General features: G+C 39.2%; 1 protein-coding gene across 5 annotated transcripts in view, besides 1 other annotated feature; it reads left to right on the forward strand.

Annotated features, from left to right (window-relative positions):
- SH3BGRL2 (SH3 domain binding glutamate rich protein like 2) overlaps window positions 1-26,817 on the forward strand; it is a 166,023-nt gene that overhangs the window by 121,910 nt on the left and 17,296 nt on the right. For all 5 annotated transcript variants that reach the window (NR_171675.1, XM_047419391.1, XM_047419392.1 and 2 more), the window contains one exon: window positions 14,072-14,257. Coding sequence is in view for 4 of the 5 variants with exons in the window: in XM_047419391.1 (XP_047275347.1) it covers window positions 14,072-14,257 (186 nt within the window). In the remaining variant the exon portion in view is untranslated. The remainder of the gene's footprint in view (window positions 1-14,071; window positions 14,258-26,817) is intronic.
- Window positions 3,807-4,419: an enhancer, noted in NCBI's record as "H3K4me1 hESC enhancer chr6:80373066-80373678 (GRCh37/hg19 assembly coordinates)". NCBI's record gives its function as "activates a minimal SCP1, AML or CMV promoter by ChIP-STARR-seq in naive H9 embryonic stem cells {active_cell/tissue: H9 hESC(naive)}" and the evidence as "EXISTENCE:reporter gene assay evidence [ECO:0000049][PMID:30033119]".

Consider the following 26,817-nt stretch of genomic DNA (forward strand, 5'->3'; position numbering starts at 1 on the left):
TTGTAGTATAATTTGAAGTCAGGTAGCGTGATGCCTCCAGTTTTGTTCTTTTTGCTTAGGATTGTCTTGGCTATGCAGGTTCTTTTTTGGTTCCGTATGAACTTTAAAGTGGTTTTTTTCCAATTCTGTGAAGAAAGTCATTGGTAGCTTGATGGGGATAGCTTTTAATCCATAAATTACCTTGGGCAGTGTGGCCATTTTCACGATACTGATTCTTCCTATCCATGAGCATGGAATGTTTTTTCATTTGTTTCTGTCCTCTCTTATTTCTTTGAGCAGTGGTTTGTAGTTCTCCTTGAAGAGGTCCTTCACATCCCTTGTAAGTTGGATTCCTAGGTATTTTATTCTCTTTGTAGGAATTGTAAATGGGAGTTCACTCGTGATTTGGCTCTCTGTTTGTCTGTTATTGGTGTATAAGAATGCTTGTGATTTTTGCATATTGATTTTGTATCCTGAGACTTTGCTGAAGTTGCTTATCAGCTTAAGGAGATTTTGGGCTGAGACGATGGGGTTTTCTAAATATACAATCATGCCGTCTGCAAACAGGGATAATTTGACTTCCTCTTTTCCTAATTGAATACCCTTTATTTCTTTCTCTTGCCTGATTGTCCTGGCTAGAACTTCCAACACTGTGTTGAATCGGAGTGGTGAAAGAGGGCATCCTTGTTTTGTGCCAGTTTTCAAAGGGAATGCTTCTAGTTTTTGCCCATTCAGTATGATATTGGCTATGGGTTTGTCATAAATAGCTCTTATTACTTTGAGATACATTCCATCAATACCTAGTTTGTTGAGAGTTTTAAGTGTGAAGGGCTGTTGAATTTTGTCAAATGCCTTTTTGCATCTATTGAGATAATCATGTGGTTTTTGTTGTTGGTTCTGTTCATGTGATGGATTACGTTTATTGATTTGCATATGTTGAACCAGCCTTGCATCCCAGGGATGAAGGCGACCTGATCGTGGTGGATAAGCTTTTTGATGTGCTGCTGGATTCAGTTTCCCAGTATTTTATTGAGGATTTTTGCATCGATGTTCATCAGGGATATTGGTCTAAAATTCTCTTTTTTGGTTGTGTCTCTGCTAGGCTTTGGTAACTGGATGATGCTGGCCTCATAAAATGAGTTAGGGAGGATTCCGTCTTTTTGTATTGATTGGAATAGTTTCAGAAGGAATGGTACCAGCTCCTCTTTGTACCTCTGGTAGAATTTGGCTGTGAATCGGTCTGGTCCTGGACTTTTTTTGGTTGATAGGCTATTCATTATTGCCTCGATTTCAGAACCTGTTATTGGTCTATTCAGAGATTCAACTTCTTTCTGGTTTAGTCTTGGGAGGGTGTATGTGTCCAGGAATTTATCCATTTCTTCTAAATTTTCTAGTTTATTTGTGTAGAGGTGTTTATAGTATTCTCTGATGGTAGTTTGTATTTCTGTGGGATCAGTGGTAATATACCCTTTATCTTTTATTGCATCTATTTGATTCTTCTCTCTTTTCTTGTTTATTGCTAGCGGTCTATCAGTTTTGTTGATCATTTCAAAAAACCAGCTCCTGGATTCATTGATTTTTTGAAGGCTTTTTTGTGTCTCTATCTCCTTCAGTTCTTCTCTAATCTTAGTTATTTCTTGCCTTCTGCTAGCTTTTGAATTTGTTACTTGTTGCTTCTCTAGTTACTTTAACTGTGATGTTAGGGTGTCGATTTTAGATCTTTCCTGCTTTCTCCTGTGGGCATTTAGTACTATAAATTTCCCTCTAGACACTGCTTTAAATGTGTCCCATAGATTCTGGTATGTTGTGCCTTTGTTCTCATTGGTTTCAAAGAACATCTTTATTTCTGCCTTCATTTCGTTATTTACCCAGTAGTCATTCAGTAGCAGGTTGTTCAGTTTCCATGTAGTTGTGCGGTTTTGAATGAGTTTCTTAATCCTGAGTTCTAATTTTATTGCACTGTGGTCTGAGAGACCGTTTGTTGTGATTTCTGTTCTTTTATATTGGCTGAGGAGTGCTTTACTTCTAATTATGTGGTCAGTTTTAGAATAAGTGCGATATGGTGCTGAGAAGAATGTATATTCTGTTGATTTGGGGTGAAGAGTTCTGTAGATGTCTATTAGGTCCGCTTGGTGCAGAGCTGAGTTCAAGTCCTGGATATCCTTGTTAATCTTCTGTCTCATTCATCTGTCTAATTCTGACAGTGGAGTGTTAAAGTCTCCCATTATTATTGTGTGGGAGTCTAAGTCTCTTTGTAGGTCTCTAAGGACTTGCTTTATGAATCTGGGTGCTCCTGTATTGGATGCATATATATTTAGGATAGTTAGCTCCTCTTGTTGAATTGATCTCTTTGCCATTATATAATGGCCTTCTTTGTCTCTTTTGATCTTTGTTGGTCTAAAGTCTGTTTTATCAGAGACTAGGATTGCAGCCCCCGCTTTTTTATTTTTTATTTTTTTTGCTTTCCATTTGCTTGGTAGATCTTCCTCCATCCCTTTATTTTGAGCCTATATGTGTCTCTGCACATGAGATGGGTCTCCTGAATACAGTACACTGATGGATCTTGACTCTTTATTGAGTTTGCCCATCTGTGTCTTTTAATTGGTGCATTTAGCCCATTTACATTTAAGGTTAATATTGTTTTGTGTGAATTTGATCCTGTCATTATGATGTTAGCTGGTTATTTTGCCCATTAATTGTTGCAGTTTCTTCATAGCATCGATGGTCTTTACAATTTGGCATGTTTTTATAGTGGCTGGTACCAGTTGTTCCTTTCCATGTTTAGTGCTTCCTTTAGGAGCTCTTGTAAGGCGGACCTGGTGGTGACAAAATCTCTCAGCATTTGCTTGTCTGTAAAGGATTTTATTTCTCCTTCACTTATGAAGCTTAGTTTGGCTGGATATGAAATTCTGGGTTGAAAATTCTTTTGTTTAAGAATGTTGACTATTGGCCCCCACTCTCATCCGACTTGTAAGGTTTCTGCTGAGAGATCCACTGTTAGTCTGATGGGCTTCCCTTTGCAGGTAACCCGACCTTTCTCTCTGGCCGCCCTTAACATTTTTTTCCTTCATTTCAACCTTGGTGAATCTGACAATTAGTTGTCTTGGAGTTGCTCTTCTCGGGAGTATCTTTGTTGTGTTCTCTGTGTTTCCTGAATTTGAATGTTGGCTTGCCTTGCTAGGTTGGGGAAGTTCTCCTGGATAATATCCTGAAGGGTGTTTTCCAACTTGGTTCCATTCTCCCCATCACTTTCAGGTACACCAATCAAACGTAGATTTGGTCTTTTCACATAGTCCCATATTTCTTGGAGGCTTTGTTCATTTCTTTCTACTCTTTTTTGTCTAAACTTGTCTTCTTACTTTATTTTGTTAATTTTATCTTCAATCACTGATATCCTTTCTTCCACTTGATCAAATCGGCTGTTGAAGCTTATGCATGTGCTACGAAGTTCTCGTGCCATGGTTTTCAGCTCCAGCAGGTCATTTAAGGTCTTCTCTACACTGCTTATTCTAGTTAGCCATTTGTCTAACCTTTTTTCAAGGTTTTTAGCTTCCTTGCGAAGGGTTAGAAGATGCTTCTTCAGCTCAGAGAAGTTTGTTATTACCGACATTCTGAAGCCTACTTCTGTCTACTCGTCAAAGTCATTCTTTGTCCAGCTTTGTTCCATTGCTGGCGAGGGACTGCCATCCTTTGGAGAAGAGGTGCTCTGGTTTTTAGAATTTTCAGCTTTTCTGCTCTGGTTTCTCCCCATCTTTGTGGTTCTATCTACCTTTGGTCTTTGATGTTGGTGACCTACAAATGGTGTTTTTGTGTGGATGTCCTTTTTGTTGATGTTGATGTTACTTCTTTCTGTTTGTTGGTTTTCCTTCTGACAGTCAGTTTCCTCAGCTGCAGGTCTGTTGGAGTTTGCTGGAGGTCCACTCCAGACCTGTTTGCCTGGGTATCACCAGCAGAGGCTGCAGAACAGCAAATATTGCAGAACAGCAAATGTTACTCCCTGATCCTTCCTCTGGAAGCGTCGTCCCAGAGGGGCACCCGCCTGTATGAGGTGTCAGTCGGCCCCTACTGGGAGGTGTCTCCCAGTTAGGCTACACAGGGATCAGGGACCCACTTGAGGAGGCAGTCTGTCCGTTCTCAGAGCTCAAACATCGTGCTTAGAGAACCACTGCTCTCTTCAGAGCTGTCAGACAGGGACGTTTAAGTCTGCAGAAGTTTCTGCTGCCTTTTGTTCAGCTATGCCCTGCTCACAGAGGTGGAGTCTATAGAGGCTGTAGGCCCTGCTGAGCTGTGGTGGGCTCCACCCAGTTTGAGCTTCCTGGTGGCTTTGTTTACCTACTCAAGCCTCCCCAGTGGCGGCCGCCCCTCCCCCAGCCAGGCTGCTGCCTCGCAGGTTGATGTCAGACTGCTGGGCTAGCAGGGAGCAAGACTACCAGGGCGTGGGGCCTGCCAAGCCAGGCATGGGAGAGAATCTCCTAGTCTGTCAGTTGCTAAGACCTAGGAAGAGCACAGTATTTGAGTGGGAGTGTCCTGTTTTTCCAGGTACAGTCTGTCATGTCTTCCCTTGGATAGGAAAGGGAAATCCCCCAACCCCTGTCCTTCCCAGGTGAGGTGACGTCCCACCCTGCTTCAGCTCGCCCTCCGTGGGCTGCACCCACTGTCCAACCAGTCCGAATGAGATGAACCAGGTACCTCAGTTGGAAATGCAGAAATCACCTGTCTTCTGCATCGATCACGCTGGGATCTGCAGACTGGAGCTGTTCCTATTCACCCACCTTGGAACGGACTTGTGATTGGATTTAATGTTTAGCTCTTTTTGCATGCCAGGCACTGCACTAAGAACTTTATGAACATTATGACATTTAAATTTCACTGCAGTTCTCTATGCTGAATTATTATCTGTGTTTTACAGATGAGGAAACCAAGGCTTTGGTAGAATAAGTATCTTGGCCAAGGTGACACAGACCCAACCCTTTTTGACTGTTCAGGACTAGAACATTAATAAAGCCAACTGGCCCAATTGAGGTTCAGGCTGCTGCCTTTGGTGTCACTGTCACTGTGTTCAGTCCAGCAAAGCCACATGTTCACAGACCAACCAGTGTCCCACACAGACCTCAGTGTCCCACTTGCAGCAGCCAGAACTACTTCCCATTCATCAGTCATATAAAGGTTTTTGTTAACAGTTTGATAGTTGAAATCATGTTATGTTCCATGATGTCAATTAGCTATTCCAGGAAACCAATGGAAAGACGGAAAGATGTTACATTAAAACAATTCACTGAAATATTTCATTTGAAAGACTTTAGGAGACAAGATTTAGAAAAATCTGTGTAAAGTCCCTGTGTTTTAGTACTGCTAGGTAGCCTACTACTAATAACCATTTGTTATCATTGAAAAAGTTGCCCAGGCATGGTGGCTCACGTCTGTAATCCCAGCACTTTGGGAGGCTGAGGAGGGCAGATCATGAGGTCAGGAGTTTGAGACCAGCCTGACCAACATGGTGAAACCTCGTCTCTACTAAAAATACGAAAATTAGCAAGGCGTCGTGGCGGGCGCCTGTAGTCCCAGCTACTCAGGAGGTTGAGACAGGAAAATCGCTTGAACCCAGGAGGAGGAGTTTGCAGTGAGCTGAGATCGAGCCACTGCACTCCAGCCTGGGCAACAGAGCGAGACTCCGTCTCTAAATAAATAAAAAAATAAAAATTCAGCAAATTTGAAACACCATCTTTACAACACACCTAAATCTCCAATGTTAGAATAATGTTTAAATACATTAGCATAAGTACTCAATATAATTCATACATGCAATAAGATAGCTATGGAGATTTTAGAAACAAAAAATATTCGTAATACAACAGAAACATCCTTCCCCAAAACATTTGTTATTATGGCAACTATATAAAGTCTACTTCTAAATGTGGGCTCCCTGGAAGGTTCTATGAAAAATAAAAGCCTCAGCGTGATGAGATTATGGGTTTTTTAAAATTAAAAAATTTCAAATGGGAAAGATGATTTACCATATTATAAACATGTAAAAAAGAAACCAATGCAAATTGATCAAGAAAACAGGACCAAAAATATTGACTGGTTAAAAAGAAAACCAAAGTTAAAAGTATGAATTCAAGCTTAATAATATTTATTTGTTTAATACAAATATTTGCCCATGTAGTAAGTGCCAGGGACTGTGCTAGTGATACATAGATGGAAAACCACAGCATTTTCTATCATTAAAATTATATTGTTTCAATTTATAACATGTACTAACAGTTTTTCAAAAATTGACCTTTATTTTATAATCTGTCTTTCTGACAGGGATTCTGTAAAACTCAAGCTTCAGTCTTTTGTAAGTCAGCCTCTTTATCCTTGGCTTGGTAATCTGGTATTTGCTTTCTAGTAAGATAAACTGAAATAGAAACTGGAGACACTGTACTTTATGTATAATCTCTCATTTAGTTAAGCAGCATTAGAACATTGCCAGTTAGCAAATGGCTTCTTGGGGGTTACTCTACACCCCTGCCCTGCTCCCCAACAATGAGGCGTACTGCTGAGGGTTTCAGTTAGGAATGTGTTCATTTGCAAGTAACAGAGAACCTGTCTAACATGAGCTTAAACAGAGGTGTTTCAGTCTCTCCTGGTAAGTCTGGAGGCTGAACTTGTCGAGGGCCTGCCTTGCTGGGATTCTCTTGGCCTTTTCTGATGCCTGTCACCTCAACGTGGAAAGGCTGCCCCACACCACTAGCCCTCACATCTGGATGCCAAGCTGGAAGAATGAGGAAGGGCAGGGACAAGGGGCCTTAGCATTGTAATCTGTCGGCTTCAGCAGAAAAGCCAAGCTCTGTCCAGAAGCTCCACCTAGTACACTGAGCTTTAGTTTTTTAGACTTCACAGGGCAGATCATGAATGGCTTTGGTGTAACTAGGCTAATGTCTGCCACAGTACTTTCTGCCATTTGCATCCTCTTTTTTGACAGCATAATCCCTAATAAGGCCAAGGATGGTGTTTTATTTAAAGAATTTGCCATGAAATTAGGTATATTTGAGGTACCCTACTCAATCACTGGAAAGTTCCTGAGGTCTTTGACAAGGGAAAGAGCCTCAGCCCTTTCCTCCCTTGTTAGTTGAAAGGAAGAATCAACTTAGGGCCTTCTACCTTCCTTAATCCAGTCCAGGCCCTCCTTTGTAAGTTTCGTCAAGCTGTTTTAAAAAAAACTTTTCCCTTCTATTTTCTCTCACTGTCTGACTTTTTTCTATTTGAGATACATAAGAGGTCCTAATCAGCCTTACATCTACCCCAAGTCAGAATAAAGAAAGCTGTGTGTTTGAAGTGTGAAAGCAGGTGAAATAAAGAACTGTTGTGTTGAATATCTAAAGCCTTTGAAAGCACTCAGAAGTTACTATATTTTTGACAGAGGCCACATCTAGGGCAAAGATAGAAAAGCTAGTATGTTTGAGTGAATGAAACAATTGAGCAGGTGCCCATTACTGCTTAGGCCTTTTCTTGTTTAATTTTCCAGTGAACCTATGGAAAAAAGATAATTGGGTTCTATTAAAAGAAAAGCTTTATGCAGATTATATTTAACAGAGTTTTACTGAACCAAGAATATTTTGTGAATTGGGCAGCCCCCTGAACCAGCATAGGTTCAGAAGGACTCTGACACTGCTTCATAGTCACAAAGAATTTATGTACAGAAAAAGGAAGTTAGGTACAAAAACGGGAATAATCTAATGGAAGTTAGATTGGTTACAGCTTGGCGCTTGCCTTGTTTGGACACAGTTCGAATAGTTGGCTGCCTTAATTGGCTGAAATGCTGTGATTGGTCCAAGAGTAGGTTACAATCTGTTTACGTATCTAGTTAGGTTACAGTTCACTATGGATGGAGCAACCTTTAGGCTGAACTCAAAATATGTAAGGAGGTAGCTTTAGGCTAAGTTTTTTTTTTTTTAATTGAGACAGAGTCTCACTCTGTCGCCCAGGCTGGAGTGCAGTGGTGTGATCTCAGCTCACTGCAACCTCTGACTCCTGGGTTCAAGGGATTCTCCCACCTCAGCCTCCTGAGTAGCTGGGATTACAGGTACATGCCATGACAGCCAGCTAATTTTTGTATTTTTAGTAGAGATGAGGTTTCACTATGTTGGCCAGGCTGGTCTCGAACTCCTGACCTCAGGTGATCTGTCCACCTCAGCCTCCCAAAGTGCTGGGATTACAGGCGTGAGCCACCGCTCCTGGCCTTAGGCTAAACTTAATTTAGCAGTTTATTTCACAGGTTTGGAAATGGAAGCTAAGAGAGATGCCAAGTAATATCTCCAAGGCTACCCATCTGTCAGGGTCAAAATTAAAACCAGGACAATCTGACTCTAAAATATATACTTCCCCCGGCCCCACCTCCCCCCAGTTTTCCTCATTGTCCTCTGTGGCTCATTTGTCTTCAGATAAACTTGTTTCCCATTATTGTTCTTATTCAATCTCAATGTTAAAAAAACTCTTATTCAAATTGATTATGTCTCTTTATTTCCTAGTGAGTCCCAAGGTTCCAGCATCAGCTAGTGAGTCCCATGGTGCAGCATCAGCTATGTATACCCTGGAATTCAAACATGGCTAGACGTGTCTGGAAGCCTATGGAAGGAATCTGGCAGGGGCTGCTTAATTATATAAGTTAACTGGGATCCTCCCGGGAAAGAAGTAATCCTACAAGAAGAGAGTAGAGGCATGCAAGTTTACTTAGCAGTCAGTGCCACAGAGTAGGGGGTTAAGGCTGAGTCACGTGCAAGGTAATTATTTAGCCTGTCTTCCAATCAAATCCCTAGGGACTCTAGGAGCCAGGAGGTTGCCAGTGAAGGTTCCAAGTGTCTTCACTAAGATTTCCACGGGTCATTGAGTCTTCATGCGGAGTCAGGAGACCCCGCAGCTTACTCCCCAGGGCCCTGTGGGGGTGAGTCACGAGGGCTTGGGTGCAGGCATTGGGGTCCTCAGGAGATTCACAGATCTGGAGTCAAAGGGTAAAGGCTTATCCATTCAGTGGCCAACAAGGCTGCTTCAAAGCACATCTGAGGGAGGAGTTTGCTTCAGAGCTCCTGAAGTTAGTGGGGGGGAGTGGTTGAGGGTAATAGAGTACTAAGGTCGTAATGGGAAGCAGATTCAGGGAAATACCCTGAATCTCAATTGCCATATTTATAAATGTATCAACAATTTAATAAAACCATTTGAGCAAAACAAAACACTTCTTGTTTTGTTATGCACTTGCAACTATTAAAATTAACTGACAATAGAATTTATTTAAACATGCAACCACATACTACTTTCTTTTTCAGTCACTGTCAGAGTTAGAAGCAAAGTCTTTTTTCGCATCAGGGTCTAGAGACTCTTCTGAATTATTTCGGCTATGTACAGTTAGATGTAGCATCCTAAGCACAATGCTTTTCAAAACTGTGCTGCTTTGGGATTGAGAAATACTGTCATTTGATCCACTTTCCTGTTGGGCTAAATGTAAGTTACATTTGTTCCTAAATTAAATTACTCACTTAGTTTGAATAGTTTCTCTTGAACATCACCTGGAAATCTTTGATGTTTAGGACTGGAATAATTCTTGAATCATCCATTCAGTTAATATTTATTGAGGGCCTCCTGCACGCTGGTCCTTCTGCTTCCAGAATTGACATTGTAGAGAGAGAGGTGAGAACAAAAACAAAGAGACATATAAATAAATAAAATTTTAATAAATTTAGGCAATAAAACTTCAGCAAGGTTGTTAGAGAGGGCTCTTTGAAGAGGTGATACTTAAAGGTGAGCCCTCAAGGATAAAAGAATCAGCCCTGTTGTTGGTTGGGAGGAAAGTTCCCTATCTCACAGGCCTTTCTACCTGTGAACGTCTTGTCTAGTCATTAACAAATGTTTAATAAAACTGACAAAATCTCCTGGCCTTGGGGAATTTATATTCTTTTTTTTTTTTTTTTTTTGAGACAAAGTTTCGCCCTTGTTGCCTAGGCCGGAGTGCAATGGCCTGATCTCTGCTTACTGCAACCAGGTTCAAGTGATTCTCCTGCCTCAGCCTCCCCAGTAGCTAGGATTACAGGCATGCACCACCACGCCTGGCTAATTTTTGTATTTTTAGTAGAGATAGGGTTTCACCATGTTGATCAGGCTGGTCTCAAACTCCTGACCTCAGGTGATCCCCCCACCTCAGACTCCCAAAGTGCTGGGATTACAGGAGTGACCCACCGCACCCAGCCAGGGGATTTATATTCTAGTGGGGGAGATGGACAAACAAATACATAGTATCTACAGTCTGTCAGATGCCAAGTGCTGTGGTGAAAAATACAGCAGTGGAGGGGAAGTAGAGAGTTCTGGGGTAGGTGGTAAAAGTGTAAAATCAGGTGGTCAAAGGAGGGCTCACTGAGAAAGGGAACTTTGATCCGGAAGTGAAGATCTGTGATCTAGCTCAAAGGTTGACAAGCCTTTTCTATAAAGGGCAGCTAGTCAATATTTTAGGCATTGGGGGATCACACAGTCTCTGTTGTAACTTCTGAACTCTGCCATTGCAGGGAGAAAGCAGACATAGACAATATGTGAGTGAATGGGTGTTGCTGTGTTCCCATACAGCTTTGTTTATGGACACTGGTGTTTATATTTCATATAACTTTTACATGTCATGGAATACCATTATTCTTTTGTTTTTTTCCCCCAACTGTTTAAAAATATAAAGACCATTTTTGGCTGCAGGCCATGTAAAAATGGTCAGTGGGCTGGATTTGGGCCTTGGGCCATATTTTGCCTACTCCCAATCTAATGCAAGGGATTCTGTGTTCCCTTTAATTGCTTTGTATGGTGTGTAGTAGTGTTTGAATGTTAGGGTGAAATGCACTCTTCGTCCTTTTAGATAACCTGCCTGTTTTAGCTCCAACATGTTGGTTGTTGCTCTATGGAGTAAATTAAGAAAATTCCTCTGTTTATCCAGTGACAAATATTCACTCACATATATTAAGTTTATGTCTTACAGCTCTTATTGCCAGGCTCTACTGTGCAGTTATAGCTGTTATTTTCAATCCTTCATCATAATACAGTATTTCTGAAGTCATTTTAAATAGCAATTAAGAATTGCATTTGGGTGCAAGCTGTAGAAAACTGGATGAAGAGTGGCGTAACTTATTAAGGGTTTATTTGTCTAATACAGAAAGGTGTAGAATAGGTTGTGCATGAAGAGACTGGGGTGGCAGCTACAAAATGTCATTAAGGACCCAGGCTACTGTCTTTCTGCTTGAGCATATATTATTTTCACATATTTATGGTGTTTGTTTTCACATTTGTGAAATGGTTTCTGCACCTCCAGGCACCATATCTGCGTTTCTGCAAGTAAGCAGACTAGAGAAGGGCAAAAGCCTGCTTTGTGTTTTCATTCATTTAAGTGAAGCCTTCCCAAGGACTGTCTGCCTCACATCTCATTGGTCAGAACTGTGTCATGTGATTAACAATAGAGGTGTTTGCGTAAACATGATGTTGTAGCTGAGCACATTGCTTTTCTAAGTAAAACCAGCCTTCTGTATTTAGAAAGAGAGGGAGATTGGTTACTGGGTAAATAACTACCATTGTTTTGCTTCCAAGGGTGTTTAAGTAAAAAAAAAACCAGGTGAGTTGAAGGTACCTTCCACCCATGGATCAAATGACATAGATGAGGTCAGGCACGGTGGCTCACGCCTATAATCCCAGCACTTTGCGAGGCCGAGGCAGGCAGATCACCTGAGGTCGGGAGTTCGAGTTCAGCCTGACCAACGTGGAGAAACCCCATCTCTACTGAAAATACAAAAATTAGCCAGGCGTGATGGCACATACTGGAGGCTGAGGCAGGAGAATCACTTGAACCCGGGAGGCGGAGGTTGAGGTGAGCCAAGATCACACCTTTGCATTCCAGCCTGTGCAACAAGAGTGAAACTCTGTCTCAAAACAAAACAAAACAAAAAAATGACATAGGTGAAAGCAGTGACTGTTGGCCCACAATTTACTTCTCTTCCATTTGCTTAGGAAATTCCTTTTGATATTGATTGTAAGATTCATTTCATTTCAGAAGAGTTGAAATGTGGGGAGAATAAAAAAATTCATTGTGTGAAGGAAATGATTGTGTATGTTATGGCTATTTGGACTCTGGAATTAAGCCCAGCACATGAAGTGCTCTTGATGGCTTCCTGTTACCGCATGGGAAGCCTCTCTGTTACCTGGGCCCCGCCCAGTAGGCTGATGTGTTTCTCTAAGTTCCTGCTTCCTGAACTGCCTGCCCCCGCCACCCTAGGGTGGGTGCTGTTAGTTCCAGGCCATGTTCACCTCTGCAGACCTTACAAACAGGCTGTGGTAGTGTGACACATCTTCCTTCCTGATGCTAGTATCATAAACATCCACTTGAAAACTTCCTTCTACGGATTAACTTTCTCCTACCTTGTTATTTGGGTGATTTGCTATTAGTACTAGCTAATTTTCTAAGGTTTTACCTGTTTTGTTTTTTCATGTCTTCTTTTTAATCATCTGCCCTTTCTTATAAGTGAATCATGGGGGCCAGTGACTCAACAAAATGCTTTGAGTTCTGCTTCATGTCACATTGGGAAAACATGATTTGTATAAAACAGGGCATCTCTGTGGTGTGTACTGCCACCCTCCAAGCTGTTCTGTGGAAGCTAGGGTGCCACCTCTCTCTCATTAAAATATGTTTCTTCTTTTTACTCTTTTGAATATTAACACATTTATTATAATCTTCAAAACATTTTAAAATAAAACTCTTGCTCCCACTTTGTTTCCTTACCCAATTCCTGCTCCTCTAGCCCTTGGATAAGCACTTCTGTTCGTTTCTTACATGACCTTCAAGAATTTTTTAAAACAGTATAAACACAAGCAAATATAAATGCGTTCTTATTTTTCTCCATTTTTTTTTAAAGTGGGCTTAGTCTACATATAGTTCTGCTGCTTTTCTTTTTAACCTACTAATATGTCTTGGAGAGCTTTTCATAACAATGTTAACAGTACATACAGAGCTTCTGTTTTTTTTCTTTTTAAGCTGCATACTATTAAAGTGATCTCTTTAAAACACAAACCTGGACATGCCTCCTGGTCATCAGATTGAAAAAATATAGTATATATACGGGTTTGGCACTATCTGTCATTTCAGGTGTCTTCTGGGGGTCTTGGAATGTATCCCCCATGGATAAGGAGAGACTATTGTGTTTTCATTCCATCTCAATTAGTATGTACTCTTAAATTAAGAAGGTAGGCAACATTTTGAAAACTTTGCAGAGATGGATTTGCAGCTCCTCAAGAGCACATCTGACCCCTAGTGACTGAAGAAGGAAAAGTGAAAGATCAGAGGAATGAAAAGGGTTAAGAAACAGAGTTCAAAGTAAGATGATATTCTTTGTTTACTCTCACCTTAGAAGTGGAGAACATTTTTCTCCTGTGAACTGATGAAAGGATGCTTTCATGGTAGTGGCTACAGCTGTGGAATTTCTGAAGAAGGCTGCTGAGGGGAATAAAAATGTTGCTGCTGTCATGAATCAATGAAATGTCAACATCTCAGATAGTCTATACGTGGTTTTCAGATGGTTTTGGGCAAAGGGAGCTTTTATGACCATAGATGTCAACTTCTTGCAAGGGTGAGGGTGGGGTTGGGGTGGGATGGGGAGTGGTTATGGCCCACTGAGAACTAAGGCACTCTGTCATCTCATAGTCCATTCTTTCCAAGCTACCTGAATTGTGCTCCAGAGTTCTGGGGAGTCTAGGTTGAAGAAACGACCGTGTTAGTGGCCGGGTGCAGTGGCTCATACCTGTAATCCCAGCACTTTGGGAGGCCGAGGTGGGTAGATCACTTGAGCCCAGGAGTTTGAGACCAGCCTGGGCAACATAGAGAGACCCCATCTCAAAATAGCAATAACAACATCAAAGAAACGACTGTGTTGGGGCTGGCTCAGTCTTCCACTGGATATCTAGTGAGTGGACAGTGCATGACACCTACATAAATCACCTCTTTTTTTGTATCAATGACATAAATCTAGTTCAGTTTGGAAGTATATACATACTGTTTCAGATAAGCGTATCTACTTATTTGTTTGTCTTCTCTCTTTAGATAAAGAAGAAGCAGCAAGATGTGGTTAGATTTCTGGAAGCCAACAAGATAGAGTTTGAGGAGGTGGATATCACAATGTCAGAAGAACAGAGGCAATGGATGTACAAAAACGTCCCCCCGGAAAAGAAACCCACTCAGGGCAACCCCCTGCCACCTCAGATATTTAATGGCGACCGATACTGTGGAGTAAGTGGCTAGACTGTTATCATGCTGTTTCTTTTTATTGTTCAGAACACATGCCACCTAGAGTGCAGGTGGGTTTTTCCAGTGAAGACTGTGACTTCTTCACCCAATGCCCATTCAGATCCACATGTCTAACAGAGGGTGAAGTTGAGAAGGGATGTGAGTCCAAGGTCATGGACTGTGTATGTATGTGCGAGGGTTGTGTGGTATGTGAATGTAAGTGCACGTGTGTCTGTCAATCTGAGCTCTGTCTTTGCTTTGGAAACAGAAGTAGGAAGGGAAGCTCTGTGTATGTGTGTATGTATGTATGTATGTGTGTATTATGTTCTAAATTTTGAAGCATTAAAAATAATCATTTTAATTATTAAATTATTAATCAAATTATTTTTTGATTAATACATTTTAGGGGGCAGAGTAGTAGAGGGGGATAATTATCTTTGAATATCCCTTTATGGTATAAATAACTGCTAATAGCTAATCGTAAACCAGAGTTCCATTTCTTATGATAATGAGCCAGAGGGATCATTAAGAATATCAGTGCACCTCATATATGAACATATATCAGGTGCTTTCCTGCTGCATGTAGCATACGAGAAGATGAAAAAGTCACTTTCATCTATTTACCTACTTGCGTACTCCTTAGGTTAAGAAAAATAATTGAGAAACTTCTTTCTAATGAGTAAGTTAGGATTTGCCTTTTGCCATATCTCTAAGTATCTAAGTCAGTGTTTATTTTTGGACCTGTACTATAGTTATTTAAGGACGGTCTAAAGAAGAAGGAGCCACAGAGCTGAGGTGCTTGAGATTAAATAAATAGCTAGGCTGTAATTAGCGTGGAGGAAAGGAATAACAGCCTTTGGTGGCTTCAAAGAAAACAATCCTTTCCCCCACGTGCGTAATGGAGAATGAGAAGTTGTAATATAAAGCCATGTGTAGATTATACAGAGAATTCTTACCTGTAGCATCCTGAGGAGAATCCTGAACATGGCATTAGACTTAAGTTTGAGCACTAGTACTGCCTTATGTCGGCTGGGACACCTTTGGAAAGTTACTTATCTTTTTAAGCCCCAGTTTTCTTATCTTTAAGCAAGGGATAATGTCTGTCTTTGTGATCGTTTCAAAAGCATTTCTTAAGCATATTATATAAAAATGAAAATTGTTATTTTATGGGGTTTTTAATATCATTATTTTATATTTTATTGAGAGAAGTGTGTGGTAACCAAGGGTGTATTTTATTCATGATTACCAAGGATATAAAATGTACTCTTGTGCCTGCAGACCTAAATGAAGTAATACCTGAAAATGTTTGCAAAGTATATAGTTCAAAATAAAATAAAGCTATAAGTCAAATAGTGCTAGAAGGCTTAAAACAAAAATCTAGCAGTTTTCTGTCCCTCGGACTTCGAGGCTTTGAAAATGCTTTTATTCTAGTCTTATGGTTTAGTGGTAGTTTCTGGGTACAGAATTCTAGGTTGGAAAGGATTTTGATGATATTGATTCAGTGTCCTCTGGTTTTCGCTGCTACGATTGAGATGTCTAATGCCATTTTCCTTGATTGTTTATGTTTTTGTCAGTTTACTCTATGAAAAATTTTAATCTCTTATATATACATTCACCACATCTTTTGGTGAATTACTATGGTATGAGCTATTTTTCATTCATTGTGCTGAGTGCTCAGTATGCCTTTTAAGAAATTCTGTGATTGCTGATTACATGTGTTCTTATATTATTTTTCCTGAAAATTTTCTCCCTACTTTTTTCCTTGTTCCCTTTCTCTTGAGTGCCTATTAATTTGGATATTGGATTTCTTACATTGATTTTCTAATACTTTAATCTTTTTTTCTAATGTCCACCTATTCGATTTTTGTTCTTTCTGAAAAAGAACAAAATCCTTTCATTGAATTTTTGTCCTTTTCTCCCCATTTCTTGCTCTGTGATTCTTTTAAATAATGTTGTATTTCTACTAAATGAATACAAGATCTTAACTAAAGATATTAAATATGATTTATTTGAAGTTTTCTTCTGTTAGTTGTGTTGTTCCTGTTTTCATTGATTTTTTTTTTCACTTTGTTTTGGTTATTTTTCTCAGGTGGGGTGGGCTTTCCTTATATGTATGTTCATCCTCGTCTTTTGTTCATGTAAGAGGTGAGACTAGGAAGCTCACTAGAAGCTGCGTGTGTGTCTTACATGAATGCAGCCTTGTTTCCCTGTGGGATGACTCAGTAGCCTGTTAGCATTCTCATTGCAGATATTGATAGTAGTATCTGTAGGTCTTTTCTCAGATGGTGGTTTAATTTTTCTGGAGAGTGGCCTTTCAGTCTCCTGCTTTGGGAATCTCTGCCTGGCTATTGGAGTTCTGGACCTTTAGGGTGAGGGAAATGGAAGGTCTCACTCTCTAGCGTGCAGATTTTCACTTCCTATCCCTATTTTCAGTCTCTCTTCAGTGCCCATGTGTATACATTTTTTTGCATCCCTGAGGCCATGTTTATTAATAATGTATTAATATCTTCTAGCTCCTTCGAGGAGAGTGAGGCACCCTGGGATCTAACTGCTGCTTATACAGACTTTCAAACAATTTTTCTGTTTTCTGCTTTTGCTCACTCACCATACCTTCACAACAGATGATGCCTCCAGTTCCTGACCTTTGATGGAGCCCTACACCTTGCTTCTTGCTGATAGTGCTCCTGCAGACATTGAGTTTTGACCATTCTCTTTTTTCTAAGATCTTTCACCATTTCTCTTCCCACTTACTGCTTATATTGTGGTTTAGGCCTTTAGATTGAATCTCCTAGCTTTATGTCTTTATGTATGTGTGTGTGTGTGTGTGTGTGTGTGTGTGTGTGTATATATATATAATCTTTTTTGAAAATCTTTGTTGTTTTGTTGACTTACTGAGAGAAAGGAGGTAGAGACGTCTTTGTTCTATCATGATAAAAGCAGAAGTGTTCAGTGCTGTTTGAATAGAGGAATATATTGAATGAATAGAAGAATATAATGTAAAATATAGTTAACTTTACTCCTTATTTTTATCTCTTTATGACGTCTAGCTGTCTATGTATCTTTGCCCTTTGAAGTCTGTGGAAATTTTTTCAAGTAGACTATCTGGGAGCTGGCTAGAGGTTTATATTACATATTGATTAAACTGTGCCAGGTCAATGGCATCTTCTGTGCTTGAACGGTGTTAGTCCTGTGGTGGTGGTCACGACAGCTATTGGCGTATGCACTGTAATCATAGTCTCTTCTGGCAAGAGTTTTGAGACAGTGTCGGCTCTTATCAAGGTTAGGTAAATTTGACTTTGACATAAGCATTAGAGGGCAACTAACCACAGGCCTTGTTCATCTCACCTGCTTCTGTGCACCTTGCTTTACCTAGTGATAGTTTCTGACTGGTGTCATCTGGTTGGTTAACCTGTAGAAACCTACCACATTGCGAGTGACACGATCCAGAAAGCTTGTATATTTTTATTCTCTTTCCTGGAATTAGAAAATTATTATTGTAACCTGGGTGAGCTAGGCATGTGAGGCATAGAGTAAACAGCTGCTAAGCTACTTGGTAACCAGTGTGGACAATTGCCTTCTCTCTCATTTAGCAGTTGTATATCTTGCCTTTTGGAAGGAGTTCCCCACTGAATGGAATCTCCCTGGCATGACCAATCAGTTTTTTCTACCCCAGAATTTGAACATTGAGGGGATGATGTAGAAATACGAGGTCAGTTGGAGGTTGTTTGTGGCAGTGAGTGTCCAGGGGTGATGGGGCCAACCATAGCTGTGGCTGGTGTCCTTATGCAGCTCATCTGGGGTGTGACATGAGTGTATTCTTGGCTACCCAGACAGGGAAATTCCTTCTGTTTTCTAAACTGGTCCTCTAGTTTTAATGTGGAGTCTTGACAACTCCTATGATACCTCCATAATTCATAATTCCTCTCCCTCAAAGTTGCTAGTATCTTTCTCAGTTATTTGCATCAAGAACCCAAACTGGCACAACTTATTCTTGTTGATTCCCTGGAGTGGAATCAATCCTTACTGTGAGCAGGATTCTTCCTTCTCTGAGAATGTGGGTGATGAGATTCTAAAGGTAAAGGAGCCAACACTTTGGCTTTTATGATGAATTGTAGTGTCTGATTTGGATTTTAGAAAGCTCTGGGCCTCATGGCCAAGGTTTTAACCCTTTGTTCTCACTCTGTGGAACTGGCATTTGTGCAATGCATCAGAAATGAAAACTCATCCACTTATACTAAAGGAAAATACCTACTCCCCTTTCATTTCTTTTCTCTCTCTCTCTATTCAGCAAACAGATGATTTGGATTTCTGTATATAATTTTTCTTATTTTTATTTTAAATTTTCTTTATTGTGATAAAAACATATAACACTTACTATCTTAAGCACTTTTAAGTGTACAGTTCAGTAGTATTAAATGTATTTACATTGTTGTGAAACAGATCCCTAGAACTTTTTCATCTTGCAGATCTGAAACTATATCCCTTAAACAACTCCCCTTTGCCCCCTTCCTCAGCTCCTGGTAACCACTATTCTACTTTCTCTATATAAAATATCTACTTCAGATACTTCAACTAAGCGGAATCACACACTACTTGTTTTTTTGCAACTGGCTTCTTTCACTTAGCATATCTTCAAGGTTCATCCATGTTCTAGCATGTGACAAGATTTCCTTCCCTATTAAGACTGCATAATATTCCATTGTATGTATGTGCCACATTTTGTTTATTTATTCATCCATTGATGGACATTTGGATTAAATTCACCTCTTGGCTATTGTGAATAGTGCTGCTATGAACATGGGTGTGCAAATATCTCTTTGAAATCCTGTTTTCAATTCTTTTAATTTTTAGAATTATTTTATATTTCTTTTATTTTAGATACAGGGAGTACATGTGCAGGTGTATTACATGGGTATATTGCACTGGGATAGTGAGCATAGTACCCAATAGGTAGTTTTTTGACGCATATCCCCTTCTGTCACCACTCTAGTGGTTCGCAGTGTCAATTGTTTGCATTTTATGTCTATGGGTCCTCAATGTTCAGCTCCCATTTATATGTGAGAACATGCAGCATTTGGTTTTCTGTTCCTGTGTTAATTTGCTTAGGATTACGGCTGCCAGTTCCATCCATGTTGCTGCAGAAGACATGAGTTTATTCTTTTTTTAAGGCTGCATAGTATTCCATGGTGTATATGTATCACATTTTCTTTATCCAGTCCATCATTGATGTGCACCTAGGTTGATTCCATGTCTTTGCTATTGTGCATAGTGCAGTAATGAGCATATGAGTGCATATATCTCTTTGGTATAATGATCCATTTTCTTTTGGGTATATACACAGTAATGGGATTGCTGGGTTGAAAGATACCTTTGTTTTAAGTTCTTTGAGAAATCTTCAAACTGCTTTCCACAGTGGCTGAACTAATTTACCAACAGTGTATAGGCCTTTCCTTTTCTCTGTAGCCCTGCCAGCTTCTGTTGTTTTTTGACCTTTTAATAATGGCCATTCTGACTGATGTGAGATGCATCTCATTGTGGTTTTGATTTGCATTTCTCTGATGATTAGTAATGATGAACATTTTTTTTTCATTTTTTTTTTTGGCTGCTTTTATGTCTTCTTTTGAGAAGTGTCTGTTCATGTCCTTTTAATGGGATTATTTGTTTTTTGCTTGTTGATTTAAGTTCCTTATAAATTCTGGATATTAGACCTTTGTCAGACACATAGTTTGTGAATATTTTCTCCCATTTGTAGGTTGTCTGTTTACCCTATTGATAGTTTCTTTTAAATATATACCTACAAGTGAGATTGCTAAATAGTATGGTAGTTCTATTTTTAATTTTGGGGGGAACAGCCAAACTATTTTCTATAGCAATTGTACCATTTTGCCTACCAACATTACCTACCAACATTGCAGAGAGGTTCTAACTTCTACACATCCTCACCAACTTTTTTTGTTATTTTTTAAATGGTATCTACTCTAATGAGTGTGAGTTGATAACTCATTGTGGTTTTGATTTGTACATCTGATGATTAGTGATGTTGAGCATCTTTTGAATATGTTTGTTAGCCATTTGTATATTATCTTGGAAGACGTATCTATTCAGGTTCTTTGCCCATTTTAAAATTAGGTTATTTGATTTTTTGTTTTTGAGCTGTAGGTGTTCTTTACATATTTGGGTAGTAATCCCTTATCAGCTATCTGATTGGCAAATATTTTCCTCCACTCCATAGGTTGCCTTTTCACTCTGTTGATTGTGTCCTTTGATGAACAAAAGGTTTTAACCTTAATGTAGTCCTGTTTGTCTATTTTTGCTCTTGTTACTTGTACTCTTGGTATCATATCCAGAAAATCAGTTTGCCAAATCCAGTGTCATGGAGCTTTTCCCCTGTGTTTTCTTCTAGGAGTTTTATAGTTTTGGTCCTTGGGTTTGTGTCTTCAATCCGTTTCAAGTTAGCTTTTGTACCTAGTATAACATTAGGATCTAACTTCATTCTTTTGCATGTAGATACCCAGTTTTCCCAATACTGTTGAAGAGACCATCTTTTTTCTCAATGAGTGGTCTTGGTATGCTTGTCTGTTTATTTGACCATACACAGAAGGGTTTATTTTGGACTCTCTGTTCTGTGCTATTAGTCTATATGTCTGTCTCTAGGTAGAATCACACTGTTTGATGACTATAGCTTTGTAATATGTTTTGAAATCAGAAAGCATAAGTCCTTTAACTTTGTTCTTTTTCAAAATTGTTTTGGCTGTTTAGGGTCCGTTGATTTGCCATATCAATTTTAGGATGATTTTTTTTTCTATTTCTGCAAAAACTGCTGTTGAAATTTTAATAGGGATCATGTTGAATCTGTAGATTGCTTTGGGTATTATTGACATCTATAATATTATCTTCTAATCCGTGAGCATGGGATATCCATTTATTTGAATCTCCTTTAATTTTTTTCAGCATGTTTTGTAGTTTTCAGTGTACAAGTCTTTTACCACTTGGTTAGGTTTATTCCTACTTTATTATTTTTGATGCTGTTGTAAATAAAATTGTTTTCTTAATTTTCTGTTTCAATTATTTATTATTAGTGTCTAAAAACACAACTGATTTTTTTGTGTGTTGATTTTGTATCCTACAACTTTGCTAAATTTGTTTATTAGTTCTTTTATTTTTATTTTTTAACTGGTGGTTGGAAATGGAAATTCAGTCAAGTTTCATTTGACTAGGGGCACATTAAATAGTTTGTGGATTAACCCTCAAGGAGAAAAAACACAGTGGCTAATCAGATAGTCAAGACAGATTGGTGCAGTTTGACTGAGGATGCCATATCTAGAGTCAGGCATTAGGTAAAACTGGGGAGAAAAACCAAGTGGGGTGGAAAATGTGGTTGGAGTTAGCCATGGAAAGTTCTGTTTTATAATGAAGAGAGAACAGCTTAGCTGAGAGACAGATGGCAAACTGTTTTTACCGAAAAATAACCTTTATATCATTTTCCATGAGTTTTAATGTTTTAAAACTATTGAGTTAATTTTTTTTTAGATGCTGTTTGTGGAATGTTAGATTTGTGATTTAGCATTGGACGAGTTGCTAACCAAATAAGATTATGTTAAAGCTTTTTACTAGTTTTGTGAAGTAGTGATTTGGGGCTAACTGCCTGCATTCCCCCATATTGCCTTGGTTAATTGAGGCCTGAAAGTAGGCTAGAGACTGATTAGACTAATTTTCAGCAGGAGTATGAAGGGTAAATTACCAGCAGTTGGTATTTATGGTGTCTCCTCTCCTCTTCATTCTTTGTCATGAAAGGAGACAAGGAGATGTGTTAGCATTTTCTCACCATTTGTGGAGGCTCAGAAGCAGAGCCCAAGCACAACTAAGTATATACAGTTGCAGTTGATCTCAAGTGCAGTGTTTATGTAAGACTTTTGGGAACACTATCCTGGGATCAGAAGTGTGTTTGGGATCTTTTTTTAAGCATAAAGAACCTAATCCCATTATTACCAGTTTTACAAATATCCGATCCATATATAAGATTTCACTTTATGTAGTCCCAGCTACTGGGGAGGCTGAGACAGGAGAATCGCTTGATCCCAGGAGGCAGACGTTGCAGTGAGCAGAGATCGCCCCGCTGCACTCCAGCCTGGGGGACAGAGTGAGACTCCGTCTCAAAAAAAAAAAAAATTTCACTTTAAAAAAGATCACTACACTATTATTTTACACACACACACACTACACACACACACATATTTTAAGTGCCCACACACAAACATAAAATATGGTCTTCAACTACGGTCTGACAAAAAGTTACTGGAAAGAGATATTTAAAAGTATTTATGATGAATTAATTGGTTATTCAGCATTATTTTTATTAGTGCTCATTTCCCCGGCACTAAAATCAATATGCAAGTACAGGAAGTTTGACAAATGAGAATGGGAAAAAGGGGGAACAGTCAGTTTTACTTTTCAAAGAAGACTGCAAACATTTGCTTTATATATTGCCTCTTTTTAATTTTTATTTATTTATTTATTTATTTTGAGATGGAGTCTCTCTCTGTAGCCCAGGCTGGAGTCCCAATAATGGGATTAGGTTCTTCATGCTTCAAAACAGATCCCAAATGCACTTAAAATATATGATCACAAGACAACGTTCCCAAAAGTCTTACATAAACACTGCACTTGAGAACAACTGCAACTGCATACACTTAATTGTGCTTGGGCTCTGCTTCTGAGCCTCCATAAATGGTGAGAAAATGCTAACATATCTCCTTGTCTCCTTTCATGACAAGATGATTATTATATGTGTTGCTGATAAAACCGGAGTTGGGTTTCTCAGTACCTGGGGGGGCCCAAAGTCAGAGAAGACTGCCCATCTGCCCGGAACATCCACTTGATTTGAAGATTTTCATCATGTTGCAAGACTTAATATTTTTAATAGCAGAACAAACACTGGTACTGTAAAGACACATGCACACATATGTTTATTGTGGCACTATTCGCAATAGCAAAGACTTCAACCCAAATGTCCATCAATGATAGACTGGATTAAGAAAATGTGGCACATATACACCATGGAGTACTATGCAGCCATAAAAAAGATGAGTTCATGTTCTTTGCAGGGACATGGATGAAGCTGGAAACCATCATTCTCAGCAAACTATCACAAGGACAGAAAACCGAACACTGCATGTTCTCACTCATAGGTGGGAATTGAACAATGAGATCATTTGGACACAGGGCAGGGAACATCACACACCAGGGCCTGTCGAGCGGGGGAGCTGGGGGAGGGATAGCATTAGGAGAAATACCTAATGTAAATGATGAGTTGATGGGTACAGCAAACCAATATGGTACATGTATACCTATGTATCAAACCTGCACGTTGTGCACATGTACCCTAGAACTTAAAGTATAATTTAAAAAAAAACACTGGTATATTATAGGGCAAGATGTCTCATTTCCATTAAGTTTTAAGATTAAACAAAGATTCAAAGGAATTTCACATTTATGGGACCTGCTTCAAAATCTGTCCTTCAATCCTCTAGATCAGGGATCAAGCCACCTGGTAAATATTTTAGGCTTTGAGGGCCATGTAGTTCTCTGTTGCATATTCTTTTCTGTTTTGGTTTTTATTAGTTGTTTTTATTTTGTTTTCCAACCTTTAGAAATGTAAACATCCTTCTTTTTTTTTTTTTGAGATGGAGTCTCGCTCTGTTGCCCAGGCTGCAGTGTAGTGGCACAGTCACCACTCACTGCAGCCAGGTTCAAGCAATTTTCCTGCCTCAGCCTCCCGAGTAGCTGGGACTACAGGCGCATGCCACCATGCCTGGCTAATTTTTGTATATTTAGTAGAGACGGGGTTTCACCATGTTTGCCAGGATGGTCTTGATCTCCTGACCTTGTGATCTGCCCGCCTTGGCCTCCCAAAGTGCTGGGATTACAGGCGTGAGCCACCGTGCTCGGCCGTAAACATCCTTCTTAGCTCACAGTCCCTTCCGTAGTCTGCCCCTGCTCTGGACATTCCATTCACATTTCCCTCTGCCTCTTGGAGTTCTTTAGTGGATATATTTGAGAAACACTGGATTGGCTGTTTCCCAGGTCTCTGTCCTGACAATTGAGTGTGTCACCTGGTAGAATGGAGTAGAACAAAATGATGGACAGAAATTTTGACCTACGTTGTAGGGTATCTGCAGTAATAATGTGTTACTAGAGCTCTGTTTAGAGTCAGTGAGGAAAACAAACAAACAAAAAAAGCAAAAGTCCAAAATTGTAACTGTTAGCCACAGGAGATTGTGCTCTATTTCGAAGATATGGATGCTATTTATTTAGGGCTAATGGCTACATCTACTATATGATACTTAAGGGAAAGCCCTAAAAATCACCCCACACTGATCTTTCTTACCTCATATACCCAGTTGATTACCAAATCCTGTAATTTTTACATCCTCCATAATTCTGCCCTTTTTCTCTCTCAAAGCTCAATCCAAAGGTGTGTTGTTATTACACTTTCTGTAATTAACTAGGACTCTGGTTATTACTTCTTCTCCCTCATGCCCAGCAAACTTGTGCCTTATTACTGCTAGTATGATATTTATCTCATAGGTTTTTTTTTAATGTCTTTGCCTTCAGTTGGTTTCCAAGTACCTTGTGCTCACCTTTACCCTATTTATCTTAGTATCTGGTATCCATTAGATTGCTAGAAACACAGAACATACCTAACAAACATGGTTATATGAATGGGTAAATGGTGTTTTCAGCTCAGGTGTTTTCAGCTCAGGAGGTAGCCAGCCCATTCTGTTGGGACATGCCTTGTCAAGGTTCTGAGCATTTGCTGTACGTGGTTTGAAGTCCGTTAAGCCAGACTGTGCGCATTCCCATTTTATTAATAAAGTTCGAAGCCAGATTGTTAAAAGCAATCTTATTGAATCTACTTTTAAAGTTTTACAATGAAATCTGTTTAGAAAACTAACTCTGTTAGAAGCTCACCTATCCCACAGGTAGCATTTTCTTAGAGAAGTTTATCTGCATTTGAAAATCTGTATTCCAAGGCCTTCTGTCTAAAAGATCAGTTATCTAATCAAGGAGAATGTTCTCCATCAGATGTTTTCCTGTAAATATTCATATGTGGCATCTTTCCAGATACCAGGAGGGGAAAAGTTGAGTAGTAGAGAGGGTGTGATACAAATTCTCCTTTATGGTTGATTGCTGATCAGCTGCATGCCCGGAAGCACAGCAATGTAATTAGATATTCTCTGCTGTTTTATCTTTTCAGTATAACTCTAGCTTTTATTCTTCTGTCTATAAATGTTTAATCTCCTATTTTCACCTTCCTGAGTTGTTTGCCTTCATATTCTACAGTGATGAATTCCTGGGATGTGACTTTCATAAAAATGATGACTTGTGCTGTGAATACTGAAAGCCTTCATCCAGACAGTTTGAGGCCTCTCCAGTTGCATGGCTAGCAGTATATCTTAACTAATAGCCAAACTGGTGGTTTTCTTACTGTTTCAAATTCTCTCTCTTTCTGAATCTTATGCAATTAATGAAGAGAGAACAAAACTGTTAAGACAATCAGGCCATGTTAATATCACTTTGGACACCAAAAGTTGGTTTTCCTCTGCTCTTCTTTCTGCAGCTTCCCTCATTTCCCCAATATGTAGCCTTTTCATGAGGCTCTGCTTTGTCATTTTTCTAAGTTCTTGCCATTCATGTATTAATATCTATATTCCTTGATTTTAAATATTAGACAGTATTTACTTTTTCCTTTGAAAGTTGAAGAGAAATTGACATTCTCATTTCTCCCCTATTTTGATATATGAATACACATACACACATGAATTGCTAAAGTATATGTCATACTCTCTTTTGTAACTATAATAATTATATAAATGTATATTATATGTATATTGTTATAATTATATGAATACTTTTCCTTACAGAACTGCTTAGTGTGAGCAGCCATAGATAGAGGAGGGTATGTAATCCTACTTTACTAAATCCCTGTGGCTTAAGGGAGAATGACACAAATGTCAATATCCAAGGGAACCTCTTAATACATTTTAACCTTTTCATTTCTTCCACTTCACACTTGTCTGGCAAACCTATTAGAGAAATAACTTTTCCGTCTTGTATTTTTCTTCTAATTTGTGTGTCCTGAAAATAACTTTGTTAACATAGTGTGCCTACCTAGTAAACCTTCTGAATGCTTTAATTTTTTGTAAGTCTTTCATTCTTAATTGATCATTTTGTTTAATATAAAAGACTAGATTTAAAACCAAGTTCCCCCAGGAAGTATTGTTCCATTTTCCATATTCTTTGTATTGATTGGAAGACTTCATGTCTGCTAGATTAGATTCTTAAAGGTAGGTTGCTTTGCTTCTTTTTCTGGAAAGTTTTAGGGTTTTCTTGGAGCTTTGGAATTTCATCAGTATGTGCCTTTAAAAAACATTCTGCTCAGCAGTTAATAGGACTGCTCAATCTGAAAACTAGTGTCTTTTTTCACTTGAGAGCAAGTTCTGTTATTTCTTTGCCCTTTTTCCCCCCTCCCTTCCATTGTCTTTCCTTTTCATCTTCAGGAT

Source organism: Homo sapiens, chromosome 6 (assembly GCF_000001405.40).
Source record: "Homo sapiens chromosome 6, GRCh38.p14 Primary Assembly".
Classification (NCBI taxonomy): domain Eukaryota; kingdom Metazoa; phylum Chordata; class Mammalia; order Primates; family Hominidae; genus Homo; species Homo sapiens.